Here is a 20,709-nt window from a genome sequence, read left to right on the forward strand (position 1 = left end):
GCTGTAAGATCATGGTAGCTTTCACCTAGAGTTAAAAGAATGTCACAGAAACCCTGGGGACCTAGTCACATACTTGTCACAAGGGCAAACTCACCCCAGACAGCCCCAGCTATGGCAATGCCCTATACATCTGTACGAATGAGGCCATGTGATATGGTTTTGTTGTGTTCCCACCCAAATCTCATTTTGAATTGTAGCTCCCATAATTCCCTTATGTTGTGGGAGGGACACCATGTGAGATAATTGAATCATGGGGATGGTTTTCACCATACTGTTCTCATGGTAGTAAATAAGTTTCATGAGATCTGATGGTTTTATGAAGGGAAACCTCTTTCACTTGGTTCTCACTCTTGTCTTGTCTGCCACCATGTGAGACATGCCTTTCACCTTCCACCAGGATTGTGAGGCCTCTCCAGTCATGTGGAACTGTGAGTCCATTACATCTCTTTCTTTTGTAAATTGCCCAGACTCCAGTGTTTTTATTGGCAGTGTGAAAAAGGACTAATACAGCAAATTGGTACCAGTAGAGTAGGGCACTGCTGTAAAGATACCTGAAAATGTGGAAGCGACTTTGGAACTGGGTAACAAACAGAAGTTGGAACAGATTGGAGGGCTCAGAAGAAGACAGGAAAACGTGGGACAGTTTGGAACTTCCTAGAGACTTGTTGAATGGCTTTGACCAAAACACTGTTAATGATATGGACAATGAAATCCAGGCTGAGGTGGTCTCAGATGGAGATGTGGAATCTGTTGGCAACTGGAGCAAAGGTGACTCCTGTCATGTTTTAGTAAAGAGATTGGCTGTATTTTTCCCGTGGCCTAGAGATTTGTGGAGCTTGAACTTGAGAGAGATGATTTAGGGTACTTGGTGGAAGAAATTTCTAACCAGTAAAGTATTCAAGAGGTGACTTGGGTGCTGTTAAAGCCATTCAGTTTTATAAGGGAAGCAGAGCATAAAAGTTTGGGAAATTTGCAGCCTGACAATGTGATAGAAAAGAAAATCCCATTTTCAGAGGAGAGATTCAAGCTGGCTGCAGAAATTTGCATAAGTAACGAGAAGCCAAATATTAATCACAAGGACAATGAAGAAAATGTCTCCAGGGCATGTCAGAGACCTTTGTGGAAGCCCCTCCCATCACAGATCTGGAGGTCTAGGAGGAAAAAAAATGGTTTTGTGGGCCTGCCCCAGGGTCCCTTTACTGTGTGCAGTTTAGGGACATGGTGCTCTGTGTCCCAGACACTAAAAAGGGCCAATGTACAGCTCTGGGCCATGGCTTCAGAGGGGTCAAGCCTCAAGCCCTGGCAGCATTCACATGGTATTGAGCCTGCCAGTGCACAGAAATCAAGAATTGAGGCTTGGGCCAGCGCGGTGGCTCTCACCTGTAATCCCAGCACTTTGGGATGCCAAGAAGGGTGGATCACCTGATTTCAGGAGTTCGAGACCAGTCTGGCCAACATGGTGAACCCATGTCTCTACTAAAAATACACAAATTAGCCAGGTGTGGAGGTGTGTGCCTGTAATCCCAGCTACTCAGGAGTCTGAGGCAAGAGAATGGCTTGAACCCAGGAGGCGGAGGTTGCAGTGAGCTGAGGTCACGCCATTACACTCCAGCCTGGGGGACAAGAGTGAGACTTTGTCTCAAAAAAATAAAATAAAATAAGAATTAAGGCTTGGGAACCTCTGCCTAGATTTCAGAAAATGTATGGAAATGCCTGGATGTCTAGCCAGGGCGGGGCTGCCAAACACCAGGGCGGGGCTGCCCAACACCATGGGAACCCACTTCTTGCATCAGTGTGACCTGGATGTGAGACATGTAGTCAAAGGAGATCATTTTGGAACTTTAAGATTTGACTGTCCTGCTGGATTTTGAACTTGCTTGGGGCCTGTAGCCCCTTTGTTTTGGCCAATTTCTCTCATTTGGAATGGCTGTATTTACCCAATGCCTATATCCCCATTGTATCTAGGAAGTAACTAATTTGCTTTTGATTTTACAGGTTCATAGGTGGAAGGGACTTGCCTTGTCTCAGATGATACTTTGGACTGTGGACTTTTGAGTTAATGCTGAAAGGAGTTAAGACTTTGGGGGACTGTTGGGAAAGCATGATTGGCTTTTAAATGTGAGGACATGATATTTAAGGGGTGAAATGATATGGTTTGGCTGTGTCCCCACCCAAATCTCATTTTGAATTGTAGCTCCCATAATTTCCTCATGTTGTGGGAGGGAACCAGTGGGTGGTCATTGAATCACAGGGGCAGTTTCCCCCATACTGTTCTCGTGGTAGTGAATAGGTCTCAAAAGATCTGATGGTTTTATAAGGGGAAACCCCTTTCACTTGGTTCTCACTCTTGTCTTGTCTGCTGCCATGGGAGACATGCCTTTCACCGTCCACCATGATTGTGAGGCCTCCCCAGCCATGTGGAACTGTGAGTCCAATTAAACCTCTTTCTTTTGTAAATTGCCTCTTTCTTTTGTAAATTTCACCGTCCACCATGATTGTGAGGCCTCCCCAGCCATGTGGAACTGTGAGTCCAATTAAACCTCTTTCTTTTGTAAATTGCCCAGTCTCCAGTATGCCTTTATCAGCAGTGTAAAACAGACCGATACACCATGTCAGAGAGTCCCCAACCAGACAAAGCATAGTGGATCCCTGAGAGTAGAGCTGGTCTCAAGAAACCAAACTGTAGGGCCATCAGCATGCTACTCCAAACTGGGAAAGCTATAGGCATAAGACTCTAGCCCTTAAGATGTGCTGGGTATACCAAGCCCAGCAAAGTCATAGGAGTGTAGCTTTCTGAGGCCTTGGGGGCCCAAATTCTACCCCCATGTGTGCAGACATTATTCTCTACCTATAAGACTTAATGTTGTTTACCCTGTTGGGCTTTGGACTTACTTGAGAATAGTTACCCCTTTCTTCTTGGCTAACTCTCCCTTTTGGTATAGGAATGTCTATGCTATGCCTGTCCCACCATTGTATTTTGGAAGCAGGTAACTTGTAAATTCACAGGCTCACAACTAAAGAGGAATTTGCTTCAGAATGGATCACGGTTTGAATCTCACCCATATCTGGTTTAGATGGAATTTTGGACTTTGGACTTTGGAGTTGATGTTGGAACAAGTTAAGACTTTAGGGGCTACTGGCATAGAATGAATGCATTTGATTGTGAAAAGGACATTAATTTTGAGGGCCAGGGTGGATTATTGGCACCACTCACCATTACCCCTGGTGACCCACTAACAAATTTTTGCTTCTTGTTCCTGCAACTTTGTGCTCTGCTGGCCTGCAGGTCTTAGTTCCAGAGAAAGGAATGCTTCCACCATGACACATAACAGTGATTCCATTAAACTCAAAGCTAAGACTGCCACCAGGATACTTTGGGCTCCTCATGCATCTAAGTCAACAGTCTAAGAAGGGAGTTATAATCTTGGCTGGGGTGATTGATCTAGAATAGTGAGGTGAAATTGGACTACTACTCCACAATAGAGGTAAGGTAGAGCATGTCTAGAATACAGAAGATCCCTTAGGTTTTCTCTAGTTTTATCATGCCCTATGATTAAGGTCAATGGGAAGTTACAATAATTCAATCTATGTAGGACCAGGAATGACCCAGAGTCTTCCTGTAAAGAACCATGAACAGCTGATGTACTTGTGGAAGGCAAAGGGAATACAGAATGGGAAGTAGAAGAAGATGTTAATAAATGCCAGCTATGAGCACATGACTAGTTGTAGAAATGAAGACTAATTATCATAAGTATTTTTTCTATATTTTTTAGAATATGTTTATGTGTATTTATACATATATTAAGAAATACTTGTTTTTCTTTATGTTTTATTCTTTCATCATCAAATATAAAATATATTGATTTTATATTAGTCTTTAAGTATTGTTAATTTTATATCATAGCATTTAAGTTATGGGACATTAGGCAAAGGGTAAGCATCACCCAAAGACTTTATCTCCTCTTCAGGGGAAGGAATTAAATTATTTTTAATTGTACAAAGGATACTTGTATCATATTAGGGGGAATTATTACCTTGCTATTGTCTTTATTTGGAGATTAAGTATGGCTTAAGGAAATGCATATGGGTGCCAAGTTAATAAGGGTTGGATTTGTGATGGTTAATTTTAGGTGTCAGCTTGACTGAATTAAGGAATACCTAGTGGTATGGTTTGGCTCTGTGTCCCCACCCAAATCTTATCTTCAATTGTACTCCCATAATTCCCATGTGTTGTGGGAGGGACCTGGTGGAAGAAAACTGAATTATGGGGGCAGTTTCTCCCATAATGTTCTTCTGGTGGTAAATGAGTCCACGAGATCTGATGGTTTGTTTTATCAGGGGTTTCTGCTTTTGCGTCTTCCTCATTCTCTCTTCACCTACGGGCATCCATGTAAGAAGTGACTTGCTCCTCTTTGCCTTTTGCCATGATTGTGAAGCTTCCCCAGCCATGTGAAACTGTAAGTTCAATTAAACCTCTTTCTTTTGAAAATTGCCCAGTCTTGGGTATGTCTTTATCAACAGCGTGAAAATGGTCTAATACACCTAGAGAATTGGGAAAGCACTACTTCTGTGTGTGTCTGTGAGGGTGTTTCCAGAGGAGATTTGCATGTGAGTCAGTGGACTGAGTGAGGAAGATCCACCCTCAATGAGGGCAGGGACCATCCAATTAGCTGGGGGCCTGGATAGAATTAAAATGGCAGAAAAAAAGTGATTTCCACATGAGTGTGCATTCTTGCTGTTTCACCTTCCACCATAGGATAGCACAGCAAGAAAGATTTGTCCAGATGTAGCCATTCAATCCTGGACTTTTCAGCCTCCAGAACTGTCAGCCAAGTAGATTTCTGTTCATGATAAATTACCCAGTCTTGGGTATTTTGTTTTAACAGTACAAAATAGATTATAACAATAAGATCTGCTTTGTTCTGTGGGTCCTCTTTCTGTTTGCTTAGATTCATAAATGGCTTCTCCATCCTCTTTATCTTCAGCCAAGACAGCATATAAGGTATTTTACAAGAATTAGTGTGTTTTTGTTTTTGATACAGTGTCTCACTCTGTCACCCAGGTTGGGGTACAGGGGTATAATCACAGCCTACTGCAGCCCCAACCTGGTGAACTCAAGCAATTCTCCCACCTCAGGCTCCCAAGTAGCTGGGACTATAGGCGTATGCTACCACACCCAGCTAATATTTGTATTTTTGGTAGAGACAGAATTTTGTCATGTTGCTCAGGCTGGTTTCACACTCCTAGGATCAAACAATCTACCCACCTCGACATTCCAAAGTGCTGGGATTACAGGCATGAGCCACCATTCCCAGCCACAAGAATGACTAACAACACCAATTCTTGGGCTCTCATCAGACAGTTTAATTTAATTGTTCTTCAGTGTGACAGGTAACAGAATTTTTAAAAAAATTTCTGAAGATGAGTCTGGAATAGTGAGGGCTAAGAATTCTCCTAGAAGAACTTATCAATTAGGAGAGGCTGCATAGCTTGACATTGTGATTATAATCTTTGTCTCTGTGGCCTAACTTCTGAATTCCAGATTAACCATTAAACAATTGTGTGGTCTCAAGCAAATTTATCTTTGCTTTAGTTCCCTCATTTGCAGAAAAGGTGAAAAAACATAGCATCAATTTTCTAGTGGTATTAAATGTGTTAATATTTACATATAAAGGAATTATAATAGAGTTTTCCACGTAGTACTGCTATTCTAGGGTATGTAAAATAAAACAAATACCGCTGGGCGCAGTGGCTCACACCTGTAATCCCAGCACTTTGGAGGCCGAGGCGGGTGGATCACTTGAGGTCAAAAGTTCGCGACCAGCCTGACCAACATGGAGAAACCCCTCTCTACTAAAAATACAAAAAATTAGCTGGGCGTGGTGGCACACGCCTGTAATCCCACCTACTCGGGAGGCAGGAGAATCATTTGAACCCAGGAGGCGTAGGTTGCAATGAGCCGAGATTGCACCACTGCACTCCAGCTTAGGCAACAAGAGCAAAACTCCATCTCAAAAGTAAAATAAAATAAAATAATGCAAATACCTACATACTCAATCTCTGTTCTCCTGCACCACGTGTAGGGTATGACTTCCGAAAGTGTGACACTTGCAAGACTCCTATCCTCAACTCTCACCCCTGAATATTCAAATACTGATCTGGAATTTATCTTCTGTGTATTAGAAAAGGGAGGTTTTGAATATATATTTAAAATATATTAAAATGCCAACAAGTAGATAATAATGATATTGGATCACTTTATTAGAGACCCAAGGGAAAAGAATTATACATTTGTTAAGTCTTCATGAAATAATGAAAACCTTTAAGATGGACTAGAAAAGACATGTCATAAAAATCCCCCAGAGTAGAAATGATGCCTCCTTGAACTGTACTTCTAAGATCAGAGCATCCAATTTGGTTTTTCTCTGCTTAACACCCCGACCTTGCTCAGCGTGGGCCCTGAGTAGCCCCAGCACATCTAATGCTGTGACAGCAACTTATGATTTGGTATTCAGTCCAAGGCCCCAGAAGCACTCTAACGTTATAAAACCTTCCTCTTAGATCTGTCCTAAATATTTCAGACTATACATATTTACACCTTGTGATTCAAACCTACTTTGATGGATAAGTGAATCCATTTTTATGAGCACTTTATCTCTCAGCTGTGTGCCAAGAATTCTATAGTACCATAAATATCAATACAAATGCTAATGCCTGCGTCCAGTGACACACATTGAACTCCAACTTATGGTGTTGCCTTCTTTATACCTAATGTCATTTGAAATTATTTTCATACTTGCTGTTAGGAAATTCCATAGAAATAATGATGAAATGTCTGAGTATGGGATATACTCACTCAGGGGCTCTCAGCGATAATTCAGTAAGCTTTGTATTTTTTCTGTGTAGCATCATATTATTATAGGGCAAATAAATCAGTTTTGATGCAAATGTATTTGGCCAAGGTGTTAAGGACCAGTTCCTGTGACTAATTAGAGTTTAATGTACACCCTACATACCTAACATTATTTATTTTGATTTGATCAGATGCCTCTGCCATGTTAAGAGTAAGATCTATCTATCTATCTATCTATCTATCTATCTATCTATCTATCTATCTATCATCTATTATCTATCGATCTATCATCTATCTACCTATATATCAATCACCTACCTATCATCCATCTATCTATCTATCTATCTATCTATCATCTTCCTATTCATTTATCTGCATCTATCTCTCTATGTAGTTTTAAGTAAAAGAAAAAAACATACATATGTGTATTATATATATGCATATATAGTATATACGTGTGTGTATAAACTAGCAGTTAGAAGTACTAAATCCTAAAATCAACACTGTAATTAAATATATGATCTTGTGCAAGTTATTTCAATTCTGTAATGATAATATAATTTTAGTGGACAGTGTGGCAATCCTCCAAAAATTAGTCCCACCTAATCCTATGAACTGTTCATATTTATATTAATATATCACCATCTCCATTATACCTCCATGTACATTAGATGTTGAATTTCATGGAGGCAATTGGCTTAGGTCTAAAGCAACAAACCCAAATTCTTCCCCCTTTTTTTCTGGCTAATAATGCGTGTTTAAGAAGTATGAATGTAACCTACTTAAAGCCAACAAAATCAGAAGAGACATATGCTGGGAACTTCTAGAAAATTCTCTTGTACCCCCTTCGGACACTGATGTGCAGATGCCTGGAATTGCTATTGCCATTTAACACCTCTGTGGATAATTGACAAGATTGTCACAGACCAGAGGCCACAAACTTTAGTGTCACAGGGGAGAAAAATAAAGAGTCTCAACTAAACCTGCCAGAAGTTCATCCTCCAAGCATTTTGATAATTTGAAACCATAAATCCTCTTTTATGTGCTATTTTTTAAAAATTTTATTTTATTTTACTCTAAGTTCTGGAGGACATGTGCAGGATGTGCAGGTTTGTTACATAGGTAAACGTGTGCCATGGTGGTTTGCTGCACCTATCAACCTATCACCTAGGTATTTAGCCCAACATGCATTAGCTATTTTTCCAGATGCTCTCCCTCCCCCACCCTCCCCCAACAGGCCCCAATGAGTGTTGTTTCCCTCCCTGTGTTCTCAGTGTTCAGCTCCCGCTTACAAGTGAGAACATGCGGTTACTTTTCTGAGGATAATAGCTTCCAGCTTCACCCATGTCCCTGCAAAGAACATGATCTCATTCCCTTTTATGGCTACATAGTATTCCATGGTGTGTTTGTACCACATTTTCTTTATCCAGTCTATCATTGTTGGGCATTTGGGTTGATTTCATGTCTTTGCTATTGTGAGTGGTGCTGCAATGAACATTTGCAAGCGTATATCTTTGTAATAGAATGATTTATATTCCTTTGGGTATATACCCAGTAATGGGATTGCTGGGTCAGAATCTACAAGAAACATAAGCAAATTTACAAGAAAAAACAAACAACCCCATTAAAAAGTGGTCAAAGGACATAAACAGACACTTCTCAAAAGAAAACATTTGTGCAGCCAACAAACATATGAAGGAAGGCTCAACATCACTGATAATTAGACAAATGCAAATCAAAACTGAGAGACACAGGACTAGCTGGATTTCCTAGGCTGACTAAGAATTACTAAGCCTAGCTGGGAAGGTGACCGCATCCACCTTTAAACACGGGGCTTGCAACTTAGCTCACACCCAACCAATCAGGTAGTAAAGAGAGCTCACTAAAATGCGAATTAGGCAAAAACAGGAGGTAAAGAAATAGCCAATCATCTATCGCCTAAAAGCACAGGGGGAAAGACAATGATTGGGATATAAACCCCAGGCATTTGAGCAGGGAGTGGCAACCCCCTTTCAGTCCCCTCCCATTGTATGGGAGCTCTGTTTTCACTCTATTAAATCTTGCAACTGCACATTCTTCTGGTCTGTGTTTGCTACAGCTTGAGCTGAGCTTTGCTCGCCATCCACCACTGCTGTTCACAGCTGTCCCAGACCTGCCATTGATTTCCACCCTTCTGGGGTAGAAGGGTGTCCGCCGCACTTCTGATCCAGCCAGGCGGTGCCCATTGCTGCTCCCAGTCGGGCTAGAGGCCTGACACTGTTCCTGAGCCAGCTGAGTGCCTGGGGTTCCTCCTAATAGAGGTATAACATTCATGCATGGCCCAAAGTTTCATTCCTTGGAATTCTTGAGGACAAGAACCCCAGGTCAGAGAACAAAAGGCTTGCCGCCATCTTGGAAGTGGCCTGCCACCATCTTGGGCACTCTAAGAACAAGAACCCCTAGTAACAAAAGCACTATGAGATAGCATCTCACACCAGTCAGAATGGTGATTATTAAAGAATCAAGAAACAACAGGTCCTGTTGAGGTTGCAGAGAAATAGGAACACTTTTACACCATTGGTGGGCATGTAAATTAGTTAACCATTGTGGAAGACAGTGTGGCTAATCTTTCTAAAAGATTTTGTGTGCTATTTTATACTTGAGTTGCATTAGAATTTTCTGTTACTTCCAAATTAAGATTTTGGCAAGTCACTTAAACATTCTAAACCTCTGTTACTTCAAACATAAAATGGGAGTATAGAGAGTGGGGACCTCATGGAACTTATTTATGCATTAATTCATGTGAAAATGCATATAAATTTCTTAGCTTAATAACTGGCACTTAGTGAGCCCTCATCAAAATGATGGTTTAAATTCTTCAACTTTGTAATGAATGGGTAGAGTTCCCTACTTCCAGTAATTTGTTGTACAATTTGAAACAGAATCGTGTCTGAACTCTTCCCAAAATGAAGATTAATCTTTTGGTTACAGGGTTTTGAATATACCATTGCTCTGTCCAAAACTTTCAAAGCAGTGCCAATTACTGACATGTAAATTACATCTTCTGGTTTCTTCCACTAGTGCTGGCTCCCAAGTTGCTTTCCACAGTGCATTGTACTTCCGGAAGTACTGGACACAAACTTCACTCATTGTCATGCTTCTGTAGAATGCTTCCTTCAGCAATTTACCTTAATTGAAATCTTGCTTTCCCCTGAGCCTAGTACTATGATTGGAGCATTCTGGACTCAAAACTTCATTCCTTCAGCTTATCATTACTGCTTCTAATTTACTGATATTTTCTCCTAAGAGAGAATGGTGTTTCTTACGTTTACCTTTCTTCTTTGCGGGCATTTTTTTTTTTTTTTTCTGAAACGGAGTCTCGCTCTCTCTCCATGCTGGAGTGCAGTGGCACGATCTCGGTTCACCACAACCTCTGCCTCCCGGGTTCAAGTGATTCTCCTGCCTCAGCCTTTGGAGTAGCTGGGACTACAGGTGCACGCCACCATGCCCAGCTAATTTTTGTATTTTTAGTAGAGACAGGATTTCACCATGTTGGCCAGGATGGTCTCCATCTCTTGACCTCATGTTCCACCTTCCTCAGCCTCCCAAAGTGCTGGGATTACAGGCTTGAGCCACCACACCCGGCCCTTTGTTTGCATTTTAATGGTTGAGACAAATCTCTTTCTTCATGTTGTCTCTTTTTATGGTTTCTTCAACATCATTTACTCTTGACTCTCCCCCTGAGTCTCTGATAACTACTTAGCATTCTTTACAGACTCTTTTTCCTCTCTCTGCTCATATACCCTGATTTTGTCTCTCACTCTACATGCCTAACTCTACAATCTTGTTCATATTAGCCCCAGTGACTAAATCCTGACCATCATTTATACTTTCCGGTTGCTTCAATAGCAAAACTAGCTCTTAACTAGACCAGGATAAATCTGGAGGACATTTTAAGCTTTTATTTAGCACTTATTGTTTACATCTGGTATAGTCTCTTTCATTGACTAAACATTTCTACAATGTTTTCCTTATGCATTCTGCCACTACTTTTATTTGAAATGTTTACTATTTCTCACCTAGGTTATAGTGTTATAATATTTAATAGTCCAAATGTTGCTTGTCTTAACCTACAATCCACCTGTTGCTTCAGCCACATTTGTCTTTCAAAAATGTAAATTTAATTTTGTCCACAGCACTATCTCCAATGCTCTTCACAAATGTGCCTCTCTCATTTCCAGGCTTATCTTTGTCTCTTCCCTGTCTACTTTATGTTGCCTCAATATAATAGAGTTCCCTAAGATTCAGGGCTACTTCATATTATGCCCTTTATACATGCTGTTGTCAAAATCAGAAATGTTCTTTTTCAGGCCACATGCCACTGGTGGCTCACACCTGTAACCCCAGCATTTTGGGAGGCCTAGGAGGGTGGATCATGTGGAGACCAGGAATTGGAGAACAGCCTGGCCAACATGGCAAAACCCTACCTCTACTAAAAATACAAAAATTAGTCAGGCATAGTGGCACTTGCCTGTAGTCCCAGCTACTTGGGAGACTGAGGGACGAGAATTGCTTGAACCCATGAGGAGAAGGTTGCAGTGATCCTAGATTGCACCATTGTACTCTAGCCTGGGTGACAGAGTGAGATTCTGTCTCAGAAAAGAAAAAAAAAAAGAAGAAGAGGTGAGTGTTCTTTTTCATTCAGGTAAACTTCGTTCCATTTTAAAGACTGGCCTCAATAGCTCCACTTCTAGAAACTCGTTTCCATATGCTCAGAGTGTCTTGTTTCCTGTCTCATTTTCCACTGTCTCTTCCACAAGTCTGTAAGTTAACATCTAGAGAGTATTACTACTTTATTTATTTATTTATCTATTTATTTATTTATGGAATCTCAGAACCTACAACAGAGCTTGGTATATAATAAGTACTTAATACATGTCTATTGTGTAAGTTAATAAAGGAACAAATAAGTCTGGCTAAGAAAATACTTTTGATCAGCTGATGTTAGAAGTTTTCAATCAAGCCTTTGGATCTCTTGATTCAGCCACAAGGCTCAATGTCAATAGTTACAATATCGATATCCCATCAATAGTTATGGCAGTGATGACACTGCTTTGTTGTCTGTTACAGAAATCAATGGAGCAGCTTCAAATGAAAAATGTCTAGAGAAATCTTCAGAGCAGTGACAAAAGAATGCAATAAACCAATTATTAGCATTTTGGCAATCCTGACACCTCAAGCCATGCTAAGTCTACAGAAGAGTGTACAATTCTACTTTCCATTACCAGATAGAGCATGAGCTTTCATAAAACAAAGGACTGCATTGATACCCATTAGAAAAATGGATATCATGTGTGGAAAATCCATTAAAATAAAGTCTAGAACTTATTATAGCAGTTCACATTATCTGAAGGCAAGTGAACTTGATACTGATTATTTCATAAACTCAAAGTCACGATGATGCCACATGACTTTGCAATACTTGCAAAAGTGCTTATGAATCCAGATAAGTAATGATAGAAATAGTGTCTGTCTACAAAGTATTAATAACTGTACACATTATATTGTTTAAATATTCCTAGCTAATAGAGAAAACTTTATTTGTGCATGAGACTCTGATTTCATATTAAGGTTTTGTTTCTCCTGTGTTGCCATGGTTAAATGCTACAGTAATTTAGGGTGGTATTTGGGTTAGTAATTGTTACAAAAATAAAAGACTTGGAAGCCTACTTGTTTTGCAAGATTCATTGTAATGCAATTACTCAAAGCAGAAGTTCACTGTAGCTAAATGAAAATTAAACTTTATTATATTTCATATGCCTTCTGATCCAAATTCTCCAAATACGTTTATTAATGAGATCAGTTTCTTCATCTATAAAATGGGAGGTTTGAACAATACTCACTAGTCACGGTGTTTCACACCTGTAATCCTAGCAGTTTGGGAGGCTAAGGAAGGTGGATCACTTGAGCCTAGGAGTTGCAGACCAGCCAGGGCAACATGGTGCAACCCTGTCTCTACCAAAAATACAAAAAAAAAAAAAAAAAAATTAGCCAGGCATGGTGGCATGGCCTGTGGTCCCAGCTACTTGGGAAGATGAGGTGGGAGGGTCACTGGAGAATGAGAAGCAAAGTTTGCAGTGCTGAGATCCTGCCACTGCACTCCATCTTCTACAATACAGCTTGGATGACAGTAAGAGACCCTGTTGAAAGAAGAAAAGAAAGAAAGAAAAGAAAGAAAAAAAGAAAGAAAGAAAGAAGAAAGAAAGAAAGAAAGAGAAAAGAAAAGAAAAGAAAGAGAGGGAGAGAGAGAGAAAGAAAGAAAGAGAGAGAAAGAAAGAAAAAGAAAGAAGAAAGAAAAAGAAAAGAAAGGAAGAAAGAAAAAGAAAGAAAGAAAGGAAAGAAAGAGAGGGAGGGAGGAAAAAAAGAAAAAAGAGAAAAATGTCTATGTTGATATTCTATCCAAAAAGACTAACTGTATTGAGAGTTGCTGAAATTAAATTTTGATGGATTTTTCCATTTTCCGTTCACATGCTATCAAATTTTTACTTCACATGGTTCTCTCTCAAGAGTGGCTGGTATGATTTGCATTTGAAGGAGTTACAGTATAGTAATCATTCTCATGATGACTTGCATGTTCACACTATAAAAAAAACTTTAAAAGTTGGACAGCAGTTTCAAAGCCCACTGAAAACAAATTAAAATATATATGTCATTACTATTTCATAGGATAACAGTTTATCTATTAACCACTTTGAACTTTTTAAGCAGCACATTAAAAGAAAGAAAAGATAAGAGCCATTCTATCACTAAAGTATAATTTTGATGCACACTACAGGGAACAGTGAACTTAACCTAGTGCCTCCACAATACATGCAGATATCTGGAAGACGTTTTTGTTACTTATGGCAGTGAAATATATTTGATGCTACTTTAAAGTGTGTATTTGATGACAAAAGTTGAATTAACTATACTATTATCTCTAAGTGAAAGCTACGGCTCTTAATCAATTAAGTTATTATTCCCTTATCTATCATGAGGCTTCTCTCATTATACTAAAAGTATTTTTAAAAATATTTTGGTCAATATATCATTATGTGGAATTTTTTATGTATAGTATTTTTTAAAGCTTTCAAGTTGTAAGCCAGGGGTAAAATATAGTGCAGATTAAAAAATAAAAAGAGATTAAAAGTTTAAGGGAGAGTGAATTATAGCTAGATCAGATTACCCATGAATTTATTTTATGACCCAGCCAAAGAGATGGAAAGGAAACCTAATGAAAAGCGGTCGACAGCAAGAACAAATTCTTCAGGATCACAAGAGGATTCGGAATATTAAAGTCATGGATTCAATTAATAGTTGATCTAACAGGTAGATGGAAAACTTAGAGAATGGCAGTTTTGCCTGGTACAATTACAAATTATAAGTGAGTGGTCTTAAGAAAGAAGCTGTGAGCAGACAGTTCTGATGTCCTTGCTTATACTAATTTAGCAGCTGGCCCCAAAAGTCCACCTGGCAATCTGGAGTCCACAATGCTTGCTGGGACTCAGGGTCAGTTCCAAGTTATCAGCTTACTTCTTACAGTACTGAACCTGGGGCCACATTCAGGTAGAGGGTTCACCGACTTGGAAGTTTGAATAGCAGTTTTGTTCATTCCCTGAATTGTACCCTGATGAGTACCTATGGCTCAAACAAAGTTATATTTCCTTCCAACTACCTTACCCTTCAGTCAACAGTGTTGCTATCAGTGTTATCTTTTCTATAGAATCTGTTAGTTTCCTTCTACTGGAGTCATGCTTATGTCTTTCTTCTAGACTGTGACGTTAGGGCACTAAGTTCTTGTCTGTAGATGGGGATCATCCCAGCACTGGGGTGCTCTATATACAATGCTTTTCCTTCCTTCTTTCCTTCCTTCCTTCCTTCTTTCCTTCCTTCCTTCCTTCCTTCCTTCCTTCCTTCCTCCCTCCCTCCCTCTTTTCTTTCTTCCTTCTTTTCCTTCCTTCCTTCCTTCCTTCCTTCCCTTCTTTCTTTCCTTCCTTCCTTCCTTCCTTCCTTCCTTCCTTCCTTCCTTCCTTCTTTCTTTCTTTCTTTCTTTCTTTCTTTCTTTCTTTCTTTCTTTCTTTCTTTCTTTCTTTCTTTCTTTCTTTCTCTTTTCTCCTTCCTTCCTTCCTTTCTTTTCTTTTGCCCTAACATTTGTTTATCCACAGGCACTCACTCGTTGTGACGTCTAATAGAAAGTAGAGTCCCAGTGCACCCCAGCTCTCAGTATTTTTGATCGTGAGAGAGAAAGTTTCATGGAGTCAGGGTTTATCAATTTCTTGTTCTGAAGAGTGGGATTTTGCACTCAAGTGCAGAGTTGAATCGTCCATCATTTCCAGAGTACAGAAACATAGGAAACTTCACCTGTGTTTCTAGTGACTGTCTCTAAAGTTATATATTTAATGCCAGGGCACTTCTTTAGCTACCCCTCGGGGAGAATAATAAAATCTTAGTTTTTTATTTATAAGCCATCTATTAAGTGACCACTATTTTAGCAGCTCACACTGCACTATGCACAGAGAATATAAGGTATAAAAATGAATGAAAAAGAAAAATGAAAAAAAACTGCTGAAATGTAGTATTCTAAAAACTTTATTTTATATGATTTCTTTTGGGAAACTCAGAAAATACTTCTCATTTGCAACTCTCTCTTCTTTCCTAAAACAGGAGAGGAACTTAACAATATTTATGGAGCTATTACAATGTGTCAAACATTGTGCAAAACATTTTATATGCATTCTTATATTTAATGCTTAAACCCATCCTATTTTCTATTATTTGCACCATTTCTATAAATGCAAAACTAACATCTAGATGATGACGCGGGTTGTCTGGAGTCTTGACTTTTAGTTAAGTGGTGGAGCTGGGGCAAACTCAAACAGTTGACACCAAAGCCATTGCTCACAGCCACTACCCTAGTCCACCTCCAGGGAACAGAGAAGTTCTTCATAAAATAACTAAGCTGTTTTATTTTGTTTGTTTGGACATTCTTGGCACAACATATTTTTTCCATTTTTTTTAAATTTGGAATTGAACTTTCTAGAAATACACTACTCATTTTTGTTTACTTAAGTAAACAAATAGTCTATTTGGTTAAACTTCGTATCATTTTTATATATTAGTTTATCTGATACAAAATGGTTACTAATGGATCTGCATATATAATTTCAAATTACCTGAATACTTAAAAAGTATGCAAGGAATTTTCCACAGTAGCTACACTTGCCTAAGATCAGATATGCATAATATGTTTTGAATCATGGATCTTTTTTCTTTTGTTCTTATTAATATCATTTAAAAATCTAGCACCATTGTAATTCACATGTTGATACTCTGCAAAAGTGAGAAGAAATCAGTCTAATATCCAGGCTGTGAATGTAGATGCATTTTGATAGTTTATGATGTATTGATTGGAAATTCAAGATAAATAATAAGCGTTTTACTAAAATGAAAACTAGATTACAAAGCAATATTTGTAAAGATATATCAAACAATATTGCCAGTATTTAATTAGAGCCAATGTTCAGGTTTCAGTAATACCATTTTAGCTTCAGACGGTTATTGTCACTGGATTTCTTTGTTATGCCATTATAAATTAAGCAATGATGCATCATGATGATTCTTCCATTACTGGAAGTCACATTTTATCTGAATTTATTCTCATGTCCAAATGTTTGTGACGTATATTTAATTTGCTTATTGCCACATGCACAGCCACACACAGAGGATGACGTAAAGCAATCATAGAAATTAACAAAAAGACGTATTTTTATTACTTTATCAGTATTTCAAATTGATTTTTAAATCAGAAAAAAACAGGTTATTTGAACCAGACATAGATTGGCTGTATTGCTCTCATAATTTGGCAGATGTCTGTATGTTCCATTTATAGTACAACTGCCACATTTATTTGCTTTTTAAAAGTGATATATTAGCACTCTGTCCCTCACTCGCCGCCGACAACCTGTCTCGCCGCGCGCATGCCCTGCAGCCGCCCCACAGAAATGCTTCGGTTACCCACAGTCTTTCGCCAGATGAGACCAGTGTCCAGGGTACTGGCTCCTCATCTCACTCGAGCTTATGCCAAAGATGTAAAATTTGGTGCAGATGCCCGAGCCTTAATGCTTCAAGGTGTAGGTAGACCTTTTAGCCGATGCTGTGGCCGTTACAATGGAGCCAAAGGGAAGAACAGTGATTATTGAGCAGAGCTGGGGAAGTCCCAACGTAACAAAAGATGGTGTGACTGTTGCAAAGTCAATTGACTTGAAGGATAAATATAAAAACATTGGAGCTAAACTTGTTCAAGATGTTGCCAATAACACAAATGAAGAATCTGGGGATGGCACTACCACTGCTACTGTACTGGCAGGCTCTATAGCCAAGGAAGGCTTCCAGAAGATTAGCAAAGGTGCTAATCCAGTGGAAATCAGGAGAGGTGTGATGTTAGCTGTTGATGCTGTAATTGCTGAACTTAAAAAGCAGTCTAAACCTGTGACCACCCCTGAAGAAATTGCACAGGTTGCTATGATTTCTGCAAATGGAGACAAAGAAATTGGCAATATCATCTCTGATGCAATGAAAAAGGTTGGAAGAAAGGGTGTCATCACAGTAAAGGATGGAAAAACACTGAATGATGAATTAGAAATTATTGAAGGCATGAAGTTTGATTGAGGGTATATTTCTCCATACTTTATTAATACATCAAAAGGTCAGAAATGTGAATTCCAGGATGCCTATGTTCTGTTGAGTGAAAAGAAAATTTCTAGTGTCCAGTCCATTGTACCTGCTCTTGAAATTGCCAATGCTCACCATAAGCCTTTGGTGATAATCGCTGAAGATGTTGATGGAGAAGCTCTAAGTACACTCATCTTGAATAGGCTAAAGGTTGGTCTTCAGGTTGTGGCAGTCAAGGCTCCAGGGTTTGGTGACAATAGAAAGAACCAACTTAAAGATATGGCTATTGCTACTGGTGGTGCAGTGTTTGGAGAAGAGGGGTTGACCCTGAATCTTGAAGATGTTCAGCCTCATGACTTAGGAAAAGTTGGAGAGGTCATTGTGACCAAAGACGATGCCATGCTCTTAAAAGGAAAAGGTGACAAGGCTCAACTTGAAAAACGTATTCAAGAAATCATTGGGCAGTTAGATGTCACAACTAGTGAATATGAAAAGGAAAAACTGAATGAATGGCTGGCAAAACTTTCAGATGGAGTAGTTGTGCTGAAGTTTGGTGGGACAAGTGATGTTGAAGTGAATGAAAAGAAAGACAGAGTTACAGATGCCCTTAATGCTACAAGAGCTGCTGTTGAAGGAGGCATTGTTTTGGGAGGGGGTTTTGCCCTCCTTCGATGCATTCCAGCCTTGGACTCATTGACTCCAGCTAATGAAGATCAAAAAATTGGTATGGAAATTATTAAAAGAACACTCAAAATTCCAGCAATGACCACTGCTACGAATGCAGGTGTTGAAGGATCTTTGATAGTTGAGAAAATTATGCAAAATTCCTCAGAAGTTGGTTATGATGCTATGGTTGGAGATTTTATGAATATGGTAGAAAAAGGAATTATTGACCCAACAAAGCTTGTGAGAACTGCTTTATTGGATGCTGCTGGTGTGGCCTCTCTGTTAACTACAGCAGAAGTTGTAGTCACAGAAATTCCTAAAGAAGAGAAGGACCCTGGAATGGGTGCAATGGGTGGAATGGGAGGTGGTATGGGAGGTGGCATGTTCTAACTCCTAGACTAGTGCTTTACCTTTATTAATGAACTGTGACAGGAAGCCCAAGGCAGTGTTCCTCACCAATAACTTCAGAGAAGTCAGTTGGAGAAAATGAAAAAAAGGCTGGCTGAAAATCACTATAACCATCAGTTACTGGTTTCAGTTGACAAAATATATAATGGTTTACTGCTGTCATTGTCCATGCCTACAGATAATTTATTTTGTATTTTTGAATAAAAAACATTTGTACATTCCTGATACTGGGTACAAGAGCCATGTACCAATGTACTGCTTTCAACCTAAATCACTGAGGCATTTTTACTACTATTCTGTTAAAATCAGGATTTTAGTACTTGCCACCACCAGATGAGAAGTTAAGCAGCCTTTCTGTGGAGAGTGAGAATAGTTGTGTACAAAGTAGAGAAATATCCAATTATGTGACAACCTTTGTGTAATAAAAATTTGTTTAGTTAAAAAAAAGTGATGTATTAGACAACATTCTGTGTTTTCCCTTTTTAAATATATTCACTTAATTTTTGAAACTACTGTATGGGGTAATAACTTATTATAAAAGGCCCTGTTTTTTGCTTGTTTGCTTGTTTGTTGAGATGGAGTTTCACTCTTGTTGCTCAGGCTGGAGTGCAATGGCGTGATCTTGGCTCACCGCAACCTCTGCCTCCCGGGTTCAAACGATTCTCCTGCCTCAGCCTCCCGAGTTAGCTGGGATTAAAGGCATGCACCACCATGCCCAGCTATTTTTTGTGTTTTTAGTAGAGATGGGGTTTCTCCATGTTGGTCAGGCTGATCTGGAACTCCTGACCTCAGGTGATCCACTTGTCTCAGCCTCCCAAAGTGCTGGGATTACAGAGATGAGCCACCGCGCCCAGGCAAAAGGCCCTGTTTTAAGCACATTCCTTGTTTTAACAAATTTAATTCTCACAACAGTATGAGAAAGTAACTGTTATCTATATTTTACAGGTGAGGAAACTAAGGCAAGTGAGGCTATCTGTAATTTACCCAAGGTTGTACAACTTTAGTTTTAGCTTATTGTACTGTAGAGCTAATTCCAGAGCCGCTGTTCTCAATTACTATGCCACTCACCCCTTAGTTTACAGAGAAATGGTTATATGCCTGTTGAATTGGGTAGCTGATAGCATCACCCTTTAGCTTCAAAATGGTTCACTCTTTCAATAAAGGATTCATGCAAGCTCACCATATACGGTCAAACACAATTTGTAGATAGCAAATCTGAGCCCATAACCCAGATAATATAATTTTATATTTTCCTATCCTGAATTTGAGTTGCACTTGTGTATTGATTTATATGAGTTTGCCAAAAAATATCTTCATAGGACTTTAAGCAGTCATCCTTTGCCAGTTTAGGATATTCACTTTTTATGCATATTTTGTTTTTATAGAGCTTTAATTATGTTTCTTGTTTGCACCCTATTTGTCTCTACTATATCATCAGTGCTTTCCAAAGACTCACTGATATCAGTATATTATTAAATCTTATTTTTTAAGTAGTTCCCACACCAGTTCTCCATGCACCTTCTTTCCTTCACTGCTTTATTAGATGGGTACCTCTGTTCTCTTCATGTCACCTGTAATTCCTGCTTGCTTTAGTTCCTTATTCTGAAAAGAAGACCCCAGCATATCTTCCAAACATATTTGGGTAGTATATTGTATGTGAACTTCCTTGAATTTGTTCTTGGAATATATTGGTCATTTGGCTGAAAATAAAATTTTTGGTTAAGCACCATTTTTGTTTGTAACATAAAATTCATTGCTCCATTTACTTCTAGCAACTGTGCTTTCATGTTGCTCTCTGGAAGTCTAATGCCACTTTGATTCTCTATTTAAAGTGGCTTGTTCCATTTGTTTCTTACTTCTTTTGTTCTGATTTTGTAAAAATTTTCTTTCTTCCCTCTGAAATTTTGGAAAAAGTTTCTTCATCTTTGGTATTCTAATAGCTAAAATGAAGTATGTTTTTTTTCATTCATTACCAGGCATATTCACTGGGTGAAACTGGTAATCTGTAGCTTGTATGCTTAGATGTGTGAAATTATAAATTTTGCTCTTCTATCCTTTTTCTGGAATTCTTATTCTCAGATTCTCTTTGTTTG

At 39.0% G+C, this 20,709-nt stretch overlaps 1 protein-coding gene, 1 non-coding gene and 1 pseudogene across 11 annotated transcripts in view; 2 read left to right on the forward strand and 1 right to left on the reverse strand.

The window, feature by feature from the left end:
• Nucleotides 1-20,709, reverse strand: part of CDH12 (cadherin 12) — a 1,102,672-nt gene that overhangs the window by 115,042 nt on the left and 966,921 nt on the right.
• On the forward strand, nt 16,812-19,057 carry HSPD1P1 (heat shock protein family D (Hsp60) member 1 pseudogene 1; annotated as a pseudogene).
• SNORA105A (small nucleolar RNA, H/ACA box 105A) lies at nt 18,740-18,855 on the forward strand. The gene has a single exon (NR_132787.1). It is a non-coding gene; the product is annotated as a small nucleolar RNA, H/ACA box 105A (small nucleolar RNA).

The sequence above is a fragment of the Homo sapiens genome, chromosome 5 (genome assembly GCF_000001405.40).
Source record: "Homo sapiens chromosome 5, GRCh38.p14 Primary Assembly".
In the NCBI taxonomy this organism is placed as follows: Eukaryota; Metazoa; Chordata; class Mammalia; order Primates; family Hominidae; genus Homo; species Homo sapiens.